This window comes from Homo sapiens, chromosome 17 (assembly GCF_000001405.40).
Source record: "Homo sapiens chromosome 17, GRCh38.p14 Primary Assembly".
NCBI lineage: Eukaryota > Metazoa > Chordata > Mammalia > Primates > Hominidae > Homo > Homo sapiens.
In genome coordinates, this window is record NC_000017.11 from 54474721 (window position 1) to 54489362 (window position 14642).

Here is a 14642-nt window from a genome sequence, read left to right on the forward strand (position 1 = left end):
AGTCTGTGTCTGATACCACCAATATCTGACTTTCCTGTGGATTGGTTACCATTTTCTGATTTTTCTCTAAATTTTTTCAGTCAATTCTTATCTTTTACCTGCCTGCTATTTTATTTTTAAATAGAGCCCTAGAGGGTCTGCATAAAAAAGTAAGAGACAATTGGAAGTTCTGAATGATGACACTTCTTGCAGACAGCATTTACTTTTACCACTAACAGGTAATTAGGGTAGAAACTGATCATCTTAATACAGTGAGATTGAATTAATTGAGAGGCATGTTTCACTTATTGCCATGTCTGGTCTATTTCTTATTTATTTCACTTTAAGCAATTGTCTCTTAGGTGTCTCAACTGAAAACTTTGTGTTTTTACCTTAACTCCCTTTGGTGGGTCCTAGAATCCATTTTTTTTTCCTCCCAGCCCCATGAGGTTGCTTAACACTTGCTCAGCTTTTCATTCTCTTAGTTGCAGCTCATTCTTTCAGGGCGCTTCTTTAGTATTTGCAAGTGTGTCAAGGAGAAAGCAGGGCTAAATGTTAGGCACAAGTCTTTGGGTTTCCCTTTCCTCCAGGATTTTGGTCCTTCAAGTACTCACTGCCCTAGTAGCTTTCCAGTGCCTTCACACAGGTTTTTAAAAAATACCTTATCCAGTTTTCCTGCTTGTCCTTAGCAGGAAGACCGTTCAAATGTAACTACTAGCTGGAAGTAGAAATGGTACCCTCATATTTGGATTGATGGTTTGGTTATATATTGCTTTCTAGCTTGGAAATAATTTGCTAACAGAATATTGAAGATTTTGCTGTTGAGAATTTAAATTCAATTCTCATTTTTCTTTTTTCAATTCTTGCTCTTGGTTTTACTGTGTTTTGTTTTTTTATTTCCGGGAGCATGCTTCCTTTTTTTTTTGGTTGCCAGTTTTTGAAATTTCAAGATGTGATTTTTTTTAATCCTTTGTTCTGGTCATTCAAAAGATCCTTAAATCAAGAGACATATTCTTCAACTTTGTGAATTTATTTTTAATTACTTCTTTATAATTTCTTTCATTCCATTTTTACTCTTTTCTCTTTTTGAAACTCATTTACCTGGATGTGTTTCACTCAGGCTGATATTTTGTTTTATATTTCCTTTCCTGTTTTAGATTCCTTTTTTAAAATCCTATTTTCTGGAAAATTTCCTTAACTTTATCATTTAAAATTTCTACTGAATTTCAGTTTTTCCTATCATATTTTAAATTTACACGCCATCTTTCTTGTTCTTTCAAAGACAATTTTTGCAACACACTTTTCTTGCTTCATAGAAAGAAACTTTCTTTTATATTCCTTGAGATGTTAATGAGTTTTTAAATTCTAGTTTTTATATCCCTGCATAATCTCTGATTTCCCCCAAATTTTGTTGTTGCTGTTTTTGTACATGTTGCTTTCTGTCTTTCATGATAAAAACTTTCTCCAGATGTCTAATGGCATGATCTTTGGCTACCCAATCACATCATATCAACCTGACAACAAAAAGATTTTTGCAATCTGTGACTATGACAGAAACTTGTTGAGTGTGGGTTTCACGTGAGGTGACTGTTAGGTAATTTTCTCTCAAGATGGTGAGAAACCTCAAGGAAGACTTTTCCATTTCCCTTCCTGCAGAAGTAATTTTTGCTACTAGTGTCCTGAGAGTCGGTGTATTTACTACACTTTTCTCACCCTCAATGCACTTACATTTCCATGGCAAAGAGAAACTCAGAAATTCTCTGGAGAGTAAACGTCAGTCTTCTACTAACACTGGTGAGGGCTAAAAATGAGGAGGGAATCTGGGAGCTACCTACTTAGAAAATCTTTCAGTCGAAACTGCTTTTTATCTCCTCATCTTCACCATCTCTTTCAGAAGTATCCAATGCCTTTGATTTCTGTTATGAGGTATAACAAAGCAGATTAACTTGATAGTCAGCTTCTAGCAATGCCAGTTTAGATTTATGTTTTCTCAAGTTGGCTAATTCAGTTACCACTTGTCCATGGATTCTCCAGCTTCCAACAGTTTGTAACTATTATTTCCTGTGTTATTCTTTGAGCTTGGGCATTGGTGTATTTTTTTATAAGCTGTCATCTTGGTGGAATTTCAGAAGGTGTCAAATAAAGACATGAATTCAAATCACCATCCTTAGCTAGAAGCCATTGTTTGCTTTGAATAGAATACCAGTTTGTACTGTTTTACAAGTGCATGTATTATATTGAATAGAAGGCATATTAGGAAGTAAATATTTTAAAATTAAAGGTTAAAACATAAATATGTAAATTTTTTGGCCCAGCAAATTTGGGTGTGAGAGTCAGAACTTACCTTTGAGAACCAGGTACATGGCTGGAGGTGAAGAGGGACTCTCAGGTATGGAACCTAAAACATTTGTGTGGTTTTATCTTTTAAATTAATAAGTATGCACTCAGGATGTAATTAAATAAAAATAATAGCAAAAGAAAAATATACACAAAATATACAGTACATTTTGGCATAAAACTAGATTATTTGTGGAAGTGAATAAATATTACTGATAGAGCCAGGCGCAGTGGCTCACGCCTGTTATCTCAGCACTTTGGGAGGCTAAGGCGGGCAGATCACTTGAGCTCAGGTGTTCGAGACCACCCTGGCCAATATGGTGAAACCCCGCCTCTACTAAAAATAGAAAAATTAGCCAGGCGTAGTGGTACAGTGCCTGTAATTCCAGCTACTGGGGAGGCTGAGGCACGAGAATGGCTTAAACCTAGGAGGTGGAGGTTGCAGTGAGCCGAGATCGTGCCACTGCATTCCAGCCTGGGCGACAGAGTGAGACTCCATCTCAATAATAATAATAATAATAATAATAATAATAATAAATAAATATTACTGATAGGACATACATTTTGAAAGAGGAAAAAACACACTGGTATTGAAGGCTATAAAAAACTGGCTTTTTTTTTAGGGCTCAATTATCCTATGGAAAAATCTATGTGTATGTATAAAACGCCTTTGTGTCAATGGGCCCGCCGCGTCCATGGAGAGAGGCTGAGGCGGCGCAGCTCCAGCCCAAGGCACTGAGATGCAGGGATGGGAAAGATGTCGTTTCCTTAGTCCGGGCAACTGTCTGGGCTTTGAGCAAGAGGAAGCTGCAGCCCACCCGGGCACCCTCACCCCGACACCTTCAGCAGTAAACAAGATAAAACAATTCCTTAAAGATAAGCCTGAGCTTGTAGATGTAAAAGTTGGTGTCCGAACCAGGGGCTGTAATGGCCTTTCTTATACTGTAGAATATACGAAAACAAAAGGAAATTCTGATGAAGTTATACAAGATGAAGCCAGAGTATTCATCGAAAAGAAAGCACAGCTAACACCTTTAGGAACAGAAATGGACTATGTTGAAGACAAATTATCCAGTGAGTTATGTTCAATAACCCAACATGAACTTGTGGCTGTGGAGTAAGTTAATATTTGACATCTCAGGACTCCTCTGGCCATAGGCTCCAGGAAAGCTGGTGGAAACCTTGGGGCTCACTGAAGAAATCATGTGACTGTCACATGCTTAACTTGCGGCTGCCTTGTAAAGAAAATAAAGTGATGCATTTTGAAAATGAAGCCAGTAAGTTAGATTCCAGAAGAAATGACATTTGTATTCTCTGTAGGGGACAGAAAGTGAGAAGACATCACTCTCTTTGGATCATTTAATCCTCTTGCATCATTTGTTTTAGAACCAGTTTCATCAAAGTTGCCTTCCTGGGCACCTGTTCATCCATTTCCTGAACCATGTACACTCATTAGATCTCTATTGAACGGCTTGAACACGCATCCCCTTCAGCATTTCTCCCATCCAGACTGGCGACTCCTAAAATCAGAGACAGGACGTCCTGACTGCTGGTAGTAACATGGCGGTACATTGTTTTTCCACCCAAACTTAACATAGCCTTTTTACATTTTTATCAAAAATTCACTGTCAGATGCCTTGTTGCAGACCCTTTAATAGTACCAAGCAAGGATTTGCTTGAACTATAGTACAGATTAGTGCTGAGTGATGGTAGCAAAAGGTGAGAAAGACTTCATCCACCTGTTTTTAAATCTGTTTCTTTTGCCACCCTATATGTCTGCTCAGAGATGAGATCTCAAGCTGAATTTGATCCTTTCCATTGAGGTGTCTTTTAAAAGCCATGTAGCCCACCGCCCTCAGTTCTCTGTGTAAGGAAGCAAAACCCCAGGGAAGCCAAAGGGCTCCTGTCCACCCCCCCTTCACAGGTGAGAGCAGGGGCTTTACCCCCATCTCCCCTTCCTTGTAGGTGACATACATGCTCTGCCGTCTGAGTCAGTCAGTGAAGGCAAATGTTCTGACTTCTTTATCTGGTCAACATTTTGATAGAATTTCCTTATAATTTGATGGAGGTCATATTATTTTTATTTTGAGTGGGAAGAATACTTTAAAATTCTTTTATGTGAATTACCATCTTGTTTCCTTAACCTTTGAAACAGTGGTTTGTAGAAGAGAAAATATTGTAACAACCCAGAATTATGCTTTTGGAATGTGGTCCTAATTGCAAAGGAGAACATGGGGAGCTTTTCTTAAAATTCCCAGTATGCAAATACTTCCTGGTTACTCAGTCCAGTTGCTAAAGTTCTTACACAATATTTTAACCTAACATTTTTATCACCAACTTTTCTTTAAAAGTGTTCCTAGTTTCTGATTTTCCTGGGTTTGACATATTAAGAATTCTGAGATGACATATATGCGTTTTTAGAAAGCTGATTCTCATGAATTCAAGTAGCTGAGTTTCTTTATGTTTCTTTTATTTACTGAAGTAGTTGGCACAAAACGCATCAAAACCTAGAGCGGTAGTTTTATGTAAATGCTCATGAGTTTGTATCATTAATATAATTGTTGATCCACTTATAATTTGTGCAATACTGTATGTATGTAGAGATTGAGTTGTCAGTTTAAAAAAATGTGGCCTCTGTGGTCATTAAAAAAATAAAATGGGCCAGGCGTGGTGGCTCACGCCTGTAATCCCAGCACTCTGGGAGGCTGAGGCAGGCGGATCACCCGAGGTCAGGAGTTTGTAACCAGCCTGACCAACATGGAGAAACCCTGTCTCTACTGAAAATATAAAATTAGCTGGGCATGGTGTTGTATGCCTGTAATCCCAGCTACTCGGGAGGCTGACGCAGGAGAATCACTTGAACCTGGGAGGTGGAGGTTGCGGTGAGCCGAGATTGCGCTATTGCACTCCAGCCTGGGCAACAAGAGTGAAACTGTCTCTAAATAAATAAATAAAATGTCTTTGTGTAGGTACACATCAAAACTTTCAATTTAAATAAAGATCAGGTTGAGTAAGATCCATCTAGGACCCAAGTAACATAATATGTGAATAATTTAAAGAGTTTCTATTATGCACAAGAAGTTTAAATTATAAATTTAGTGTTGGTCAAGTACTAATTGTAAGATCAAGACTCATATATTAGTAAAAGCTCAATAGAGAATAGTTGTGCAACATAATTACTTTGGCCTCATTTTTCTTTTCTTTTTTGGGCACTTATAGAATAGCAACACTGTATCAAATAGTGTAGTAGTGCTGAGATACAGAGAAGTCAATCCCTAACACCAGATTTCCTGATTCTGCTCTGAAACTTCTTGTATTGCCTCCAATGAATCAGCAACATCCTGCAATTCCTACTCACGGGCAACTTTGATTTATCTCCCTGCCTGCTGTTTTGCTTTTCATAGACAACAGCCAATGGCTCTGTAATTTCTTCAAGTACAATTATTTTAGCCTCAGCTATGCAGCACTTCTCTTTTTTTCCCCTTTCTGGTACTCTAGTCATTTCTGTTCTTGCTTGCTATTCCTCAAAAGTTTTACCACACCAGAGCTGTAGCAAGGCTTTACATCGTATCTAAGACAATTCCAAGTCTGTCTAAGAGAGCTGTGCAGGGGCTGTTTATGAATCTAAGTTATATAATTAGTAGAAGAACTTTCCAATTTACTCAAATCCCCTTTGCAATTGTATTGCCTATGATCTCTGTCTTTAGACTTGACCAGGTTTTTAACTAGTTCATACTAGCTTTGCTTTTTTGTTGTTGTTTAAATGGAAAGTACTATTTATTGAGCACTTACCAAATGTTGGACATTCTATAGTCTTATCTCATGCACTTCTTCCAGTTATGTGAGATACATAGGGAAGGTTAGCAGCATAAGAAAGAGGCAGAGCCAGATGGGCTGAGTTAGCGGCCTAGCTAGGCTATTCACTAGCTTTGTCATCTTAGGCAAGTATCTCATTCTCTAGGAGCTTCTGGTACAAATACCTCACACAGTTTGGTGAGTAAATGAGTTAATATATGTAAAATACTTACAATACTTATATGTAAAATACTTATAAATACTTACACGTAAAATACTTACTTTAGTGAGTAAATGAGTTAATATATGTAAAATACTTAGAATCGTGGCTGCATACAATCAGCACTATATAAATATTAACTGTTAGTATTTTACTCATTTTACAAAGAGAGACAGACTCAGAGGGATCTATGCTGCTGAACCCCGAACAGCTCATAAACAGCATCATGTTAATTAACAATTATATTATTGAATGGTTATATATTTTTGGACATATATGTAATTTCCACCTTTGAGGTCCTAAAATGCTTCAGTCAATAGCTCTATATCTAAATCTTCATGTATACTAATCCTGTCCCTTAGGATAAAATCCACAGAATAAAGTCCAAAAGTATGCCAATGTTTAAGGTTTTGGTGTTCATTGCCAAAATATCTGTCACCTACCAGCAATACATGAAGGTGTCCATTCCCTTAAACTCTTACTAATATTGGGTAGTATTCACTACTTACAGCAAATCCACAGACCTTCAATTTTAACATTATATTTGTGAAGAGGGTAATTTTATTTTTTAAGGTGGTTCTTTTTTTGCTAATATTTAGCAAGAATTAAATAATGCCAAACTGTCTGTTCACTTAGAAAGTGTTGGCCGGGCGCAGTGGCTCACACCTGTAATCCCAGCACTTTGAGAGGCTAAGGTAGTGAATCACTTGAGGTCAGGAGTTCGAGGCCAGCCTGACTAACATGGTGAAACCCCATCTCCACGAAAAATACAAAAATTAGCTGGGCATGGTGATACACACCTGTAATCCCAGCTACTTGGGAGGCTGAGGCAGGAGAATCGCTTAAACCCAGGAGGCAGAGGTTGCAGCGAGCCAAGACTGTGCCATTGCATTCTAGCCTGGGCATCAAGAGCAAAAACTCCATCTCAGGGAAAAAAATAAATAAAAGTGTAGATAAACATTCCCAACTATTGTCCCTGTTTTCTAGCATAATCTATATCACTTTTGAATACGCTTCCCATATCCAGCTTATCATGGTTAGAGAGACACTGAATTGACATCTACATGTTATCGGAGTATTTCCATTCATTCAACTCTCTCTCTGATAAGTGACATGGTTATAAGTCGCTTATCAAATTTGGTCTCTTTCTTCTAAATACGCTAGTTGTAAATGAAATGTAAGTTTTCTAGATACATCTGCAAGGCAAAAATTATTATTTGGAAGTTTTTGTTTCTCCTAAAGAATAAACTTTAAACTATTTCATTTCAGCAATAAATACAACTATTGTTTATCAGCCTCTGAAGATCTTATCTTCCTGTCTGAGGTCGCTGTGGAAGCTGGGGTGGTTGCCAGGAAGGAAACAAGATGGAGAGGATAAAAAAAAATAGATGGATTTGGGGATTCTCTGCTGAATGGATGTTTGGAGACATTTGTGCTAAACAAAAAAGATATTTTAAGATAGAACAATAAATTTACATGCCTACTATTCAGAAGTTCTTTAAATCTTAGCAACTAAAAACAAATGTAAAATTGTCCAATTAAAGACCAGAGAGAGGAGCAAAGTCTATACACTTCATGACCGGTATCAGTTTCTGAGTCAATACTTCTGGGTGACTGACTAAATACAAAAACAAAATTTCTGTAAAGACAACTATGACTTTAACCTCTGTTGCATATAGAAACAGAATAAAGGTGTTCAATTATATTAGATTTACACCTGCATGTGTATGTTGAGAGAGAATTGTGCTACTACATGTTTAATAATTAGCTCTCTAAACAATGATCTAATTTATGACATTTGCCAATTTCTGTGGTGTAAATGCTCCCATAATGGCTGATTTCAAAATGATACCACCGAATGTGGAAGTGGGAATAGGTGCATAGGATCAACTTTCACAAGCCAGTGTGAGCCAGCTCTAGCATACCACCATAGAATCTTCAGAACAAGTGGCAATTTATTACATTGTCACGGGAGTCTGTAATTGCAGCTGCCTACATCACTACACACAATTAAACCTAATGTGTGCTGTCAAATGTAGAAAACTGCATAGCAAGGATAGAGGAATAAACTTTCATACTTTCTCTGTCCGTCAGCGTCTGTGGTCAGTGCTACCATTTGATCTGCATCTAAAAAGTTTCTTCCTTGATCTACGGAAAATAAATGAAGACGACCTTCTTGTGGCTGAAGAAAATAAATTATTAACCCCCGGAGTCACAGAAAATAAATAGGGAGGCTTTGTTCAAGCTAAAGAAAATAAATTAAACATAAAAGATGCTATTTCAGAGACAAAGATTTATCATTTTTAAAGCTGGTTGAGGGCTAGACTAATATTGCAAAGTTCCGGAGAGTAGCTCTACACTGCTTCCCTGAAAAACTCATTATAAACCAAGCTACAGTCATCTTCTGAATTGCAAAAGAGCCCTGGCAGTAGGCAGGTAGTTTGTCCCTCCGCCTATTCTTCAAGAAATAAATAGCCTCCCTTCTTTATGGAAGATTATGCACCTGTTCTGTTTCCTTCTCGAGATGCTTTGCATGTATGCTGTAAATTGTCCGCTTTCAGCTCAGAGACAACTTATCAGAGAACATATTCAGAGCCATCTTTCCAGGTTCACAGTCTCTTCTGCAAGGGTTGTGGGCATATCAGGTGATCCACTCACTATCTACATATGACTTACCATTATTTCAGGGGCTGACTTGTGTGTCAAAGAGCTTAAGTTTAAATTATTATTTGATATGGCTATATTTTTTTGTGGTGCCTATAAAAACAGTGAAATAATTGAGCCTGAGAGAAAGAAGGGCTGCACACATGAATTTGAAAAAGGGTGCATTTTATTGTCTATTAAAGATTCCTCATTTATTATTGGGTAATTAGTAACATCAGGAAAAATGTCAACATTCAAATTTAGGAGGCAGAATTGTGAAGAATTGACAAGAGTGAAAAATAAGCAAATTATCATTAAAAACAATACTAGCACTTCCTTGACCTTGGAGTGTGATCTTGGCCGATATATCTTGCAGGTGTGGGATTTAGTTTTTACACCTTGTAAATTTATAGCTAAAATGTACAGAGAGCTTCCTATGTGTCAAGCTCTGTCCGACATTTGTGGCATGAATCACCTGATTTAAATACATGAGGAGCTCATAAGCAGCATCTTAGTGAGCTGATGGCAGTTTACTGAGGTTATGAGTGTCACTGTCGCCATCCTAGAGAGCACTGTTTTGCACCATATGATCTCCAGTATCCTTTGTTTCTTATTAACTGGATAAGTCTGCAGCTCCTAAAGTACTGAATCTCAGTGTCTAGGGATGGGGCCCAGGAATCTACCTTTCATCATTATCCACTCAGATGATTCTTACACGTACTGATGTGTGAGAAACAGTTTTTGGAGAGTAATTCTATGCAGACCTTAGTGACTTTCAAAGGTCTGAACCTTCACCAGCACTACGTTCTGGCCCACAGAAAAAGCTGGACTTTTCTATAATGTCCACATTGCCTACACTGCATTGTCTACACCACATTGTCTACACTACATTGTTTCAAAGGCAGAGACTCCAAGACTGTTCTATGCCTACTGTCCAACATCTTTCCCATCTCCTAATACCTTGTGTTAAGCCAAGATTTGTCTTTCCCCAGAGGGTCTTTAGTCAAGGACATCACAAGTATTGCCCCATAAAGGGAAAATGGTTGCCTGGATGGACGCTTGATGCATCTTTCATTCTTTGCTATCAGACTTCAGGCCTAAGGAGGCTGCCATGCAGTAATAGCAAGAGGACTCAGATGAAAGCCAAAAACATGAGTTAAAAATCAAATTTCCTCCTTACAGTGAGACTTTGAGCAAGTTGGTAGATCTTTTGAGCCCAGTTTTCCTCAACTGAAAAATAAAGATGACATCTAGCTTGCAGGGTAGTTGTGAGAATTAAATATGATATTTTATGCTAAGGAACCTCAGTAATTGGAGGCATTCAGTGAAAATTGTTGAATCTCTTCCTTGACTTAATTGTTCAGGGCACACATCATTCAAATCATGGGAACTGTAAATTCCAATGTGTACATTGAGAGAATGGCAGATTTGCAAATTTTATGGGAGTTATAAAGCAAAATGTGATTGGGACCACAGAGGCTGATATTTTTATTTGTGATAAAAAGGTTCTGTGTTCTCAAGGAGTTTGAATCTGAGTACATGCAAAGATATGCACATGATTTACTTCCTAATGACAAAGATTCCTCATATGCGGGCCTGTTGTGCTTGCTGTTCTTTATACATTGACTTCATTAATTAAAAACAAATCTGGACTTTCTGAATCTCTATTGAGTTTAATCATATGTGCATAATCAATTTGTGTATAAGATGCCACATAAAATACATGTAACAATACAAATACATTTTGACATTTACTCCCAAACTGAAAAGTATTTATAAGTAAAATAATCAAATCTTTTGATTTCTAGTTTCTTTTCTGAATAATGGCTTATTCCCAAAGAGTGAAGTGAGTACCTGCTTTATGATGGGTACTATGTTAGTTACTAGAGCACTTGTTCCCATCTTTGCACATCAGAATAAATTGGGTGGTATTTCACAAATAAAATGAAATTGAAAGTATAATTAAATATACATTCAATTAATACAGTATGAATATATACATACTGTACGTATATATTCATACATATATACAGTATGAATATATGTTGTAAAGTATTATAAATTATAATACATTCAATATGTATGTATTATAAAGTATAATACATTCAATATTTATGTATTATAAAGTATAATACATTCAATATTTATGTATTATAATAAACATACATATAATTACAAAACATAATTATGATTTTAAAATAATTTTGTATATGCAATTATAATGATAATTTATATTTATATATTAAAATTATAATGATAATTTATATTTATATATCATAATTTATATTAATTATATTTATAAATATAATTTATAAACTATAAATATACATAATATATTTATAAGCTATACATATATCATTTAAAAATTATAAGTATAAATGTAAATTTATATTTATAAGTATAAATGTAAATTTATAAGTATAAATGTAAATTTATATTTATAAGTATAAATGTAATTTATACTTATAAATATAAATATATTTATAAGTATAAATTACAATTATATCAATATATAAATATTTTTATAATTTTATATAAATTATACATATATAATTGAATATATAATTGAATATAAATATAATTAAATATAAAGGTAGACTATAATTTAAAATAAACGTAAATCTGATTCTCTGAGATATGACTCCACCTTAGAAACAGATTTGCCCCCACCTCAGAGACTCAGGTTCCATTTGTCTGGAGTAAGAACAAGACGCTGGTTTATTCTAAATACTCTCTGATGTGCAGCCAGGGTTCTGAACCACTACCTTAGACATACAAGAGGAAATAAGATTCAATCACTGTCTTCAAGAAGCTGACCATCTAAACTCTTAACTGGAGCTGCCATAACAAAGTATCATAGACTGGGTGACTTAAACAACGGAAATTGTTTTGTCCCAGTTCTGGAGGCTGTAAGTCCAAGATCAAGGTGCTGGCAAGGTAGGCTTTATCTTGAAGCCTCTTGTTTTGGCTTGCAGGTGGACCACCATGTCACTGTGTGCTCACATGGCCTCTTCTTTGTGTATACATGTGGGGACAGAGAGAATGAGCTCTCGGGTCTCTTGCAAGGTCACTAATCCTGTCATGAATGTTCTACTCTCATGACCTCTTGTAACCCTTATTACCTCCAAAAGGCCTTATATTCAAATACCATCACATTCAGGGTTAGAGTCCCAATTTAAATTTTGGGAGAGACACAAACATTCAGTCTATCATGGGATAAACAGGTACATAGATATATCACAACATTATGTAGTGTCTTGCTATAACAGAATGAGCATATGTCACATGCAGCTATATGAACTGTCGTTACCAGGTGACTCTTTTTCATTACATAGATAATATCTTGAATCATTAAATCAGCTGAATAATTAAAGGAGTATATTATGCTGCAGTGTGTCCTCATCAAGAGAAAGAATCTACATTTTGAGGAACACGTCCGACTGGTTCCTTGAGAAGTAACCATGGCCTGACACAGCTGAAGGTCTCTGGATTCACTCAGTGGCTCAGGAAGAAATGAAAGTTCAAAGAGGTAATCTTAACTATTTTTGACTGAGTGAGCCAGCCCCTGTCTAACAGAAGATGATAAGAGATATCAGACCTTCCTTGCAGACAGTTTCTTCTTGAAGACATGCTGCAAACTATGTCAGGGGTGGCTGTTGTCTGATTTCTAAGTTATCAGAAGAAAAAGGTTTACAAAAAATGTTTTGGAAAATTTAATTGAAACTGCCCACTTCAAAAACACACTTAGTCAAACACAAAGGTGGCACCTATCAGCAAGAAAAGACTTTGAACCCAAATTTCAAATTGTCAGTTTTCCTCCTACAAAATAGAAGTAGTGTTAGTGGAACGCCCATGTTTCCATCTTTGAGTTTGCTGGTTGCTTAGTCTGGGAATGTATCTTAGTGACCTCATGTCCCTCATTACATTTTCACCCTAGCTATAAATAAGTGAATAGGTGAATAGATTCTTACTCATTTCTATTTCCTCAATAAACAAATTATATATAACAACCTCATATACATATATGTGTGCATGTATGCGTTTGTATATATGTGTGTGATGTGTGTGTGTGTTTGGTTCCACCAGAGTCAAAATATTGAATACTTTAAGTACATCTTACTACTTTCAAAAAATCTATAAAAATTTTTAACGGCCTCCATATATTATTGTCATTTATAAGAAGGTCACATTACTGAACAAACTATTCTAACCAGAACACGGCCAGAAACCAAATATTAGGCACATGCAAATACACATTTACACACACACACACACACACACACACACACACACACAAACACTATGAACAATGTTCTAAAGCTTGTACATTCAACTCTATGCAGTTTACTCTAGAGAATGCCAAGTTCGTCATCCAGAACTCAATTACTCTTACTTTGTGTTTCCTAGCCAACAGCAGATTAACAGGAATAGAGACTGCTGTAATAAGATAAATTGTCAACAGTAAGTGATGCTAACAGTCTATGTGTGAGTAAATGATGAAGCAGAAGAATGCTTAAAATCAGATACCAAGTAAGATGAAAATTGCAGCAGTCGGGACCATTTTATCAAGAGATTGTACATGTATTTTGGAAGTCCCTGAGGGATTGTGACTGTTAATACACCATAAAGTATCCAGTGACTGTAATGTCGACTGTACATTTTTTTGGAAAATATAAATTATATTCAATATTTTTGTTCAGTAAGGTAAGGAGGCTGATTATACTTAGAGTCATAATGATTTAAATTGAGAACATTAATTTGAGTATCCAAAGAGTTAAGATTTCTTCAGACATCTGGAATCTTAAAGTAGGCAATTATTTTTAGAAACTAAGGTAAATAAGACATCCATATCTTGCTGATAATGCAAGCAGTGTGCATCACTGTGTTTGCTTTTTGTTCTGTAGGCATATTTAATCCCCAAATTTGATGAAGAGAGTTGTATGATAGTTTGATTCTAACTCTGAAATATAAGCTCTTTCTGATATGCTATAGCAGTTCTTAAAAACATGTGTGAGGAAATTCAACAAGATAGGAATATTGCTTTGATAGAAGTTATTTAAATTACCTTGAAAAGATAAGTAGAGGTCATATCTGCTAAATGGGCATAACACTTATAGGTAGGTATTCCAACCCAGGGGCTTAAAAATTACATAAATACAAGCAACTTCCTGAGGAAATCCCCAAATTTGTTTATTCCTCTACCAACTAGAACTGTAATCTTTTCTCTGCAAAAGGTTGAGCAACTCTTGAAAAAACTAGCCAGAGAAATCAGTTGTTAACAGTATAAATGAAGACTTTAATCATGCATAGTCAGAAACCATATTTGAGAATTATGCATTTCCATGTGACCTAATTTTAGGTGTCCTAAAAAGCTGCAGTTGTTTTGCTAATATAAAAGCCTTAAAGGGTTTTAAATCTTTCTGACTTAGCTACAGATCAATAAAATTAATCAGACTACTCCTATGCAATTAGGCATTGATAAAAAACTGTCACCCATTCCACTTATTTTTAGACATCATTAGAATTTCATATGGACACTTGCTTTCTACATACATCTTCAAAATAAAGTTTTTCTACTAGTTATAAAATTATATACATAGATGAGCTGATTATTATATTCGTTCCAGACAGAATCAATAGCTTTTAATTTAGAAATATGAGTTATGAT

The 14642-nt window shown here is 35.9% G+C and overlaps 1 pseudogene; it reads left to right on the forward strand.

The window, feature by feature from the left end:
* ISCA1P3 (iron-sulfur cluster assembly 1 pseudogene 3) lies at positions 2994-4964 on the forward strand (annotated as a pseudogene).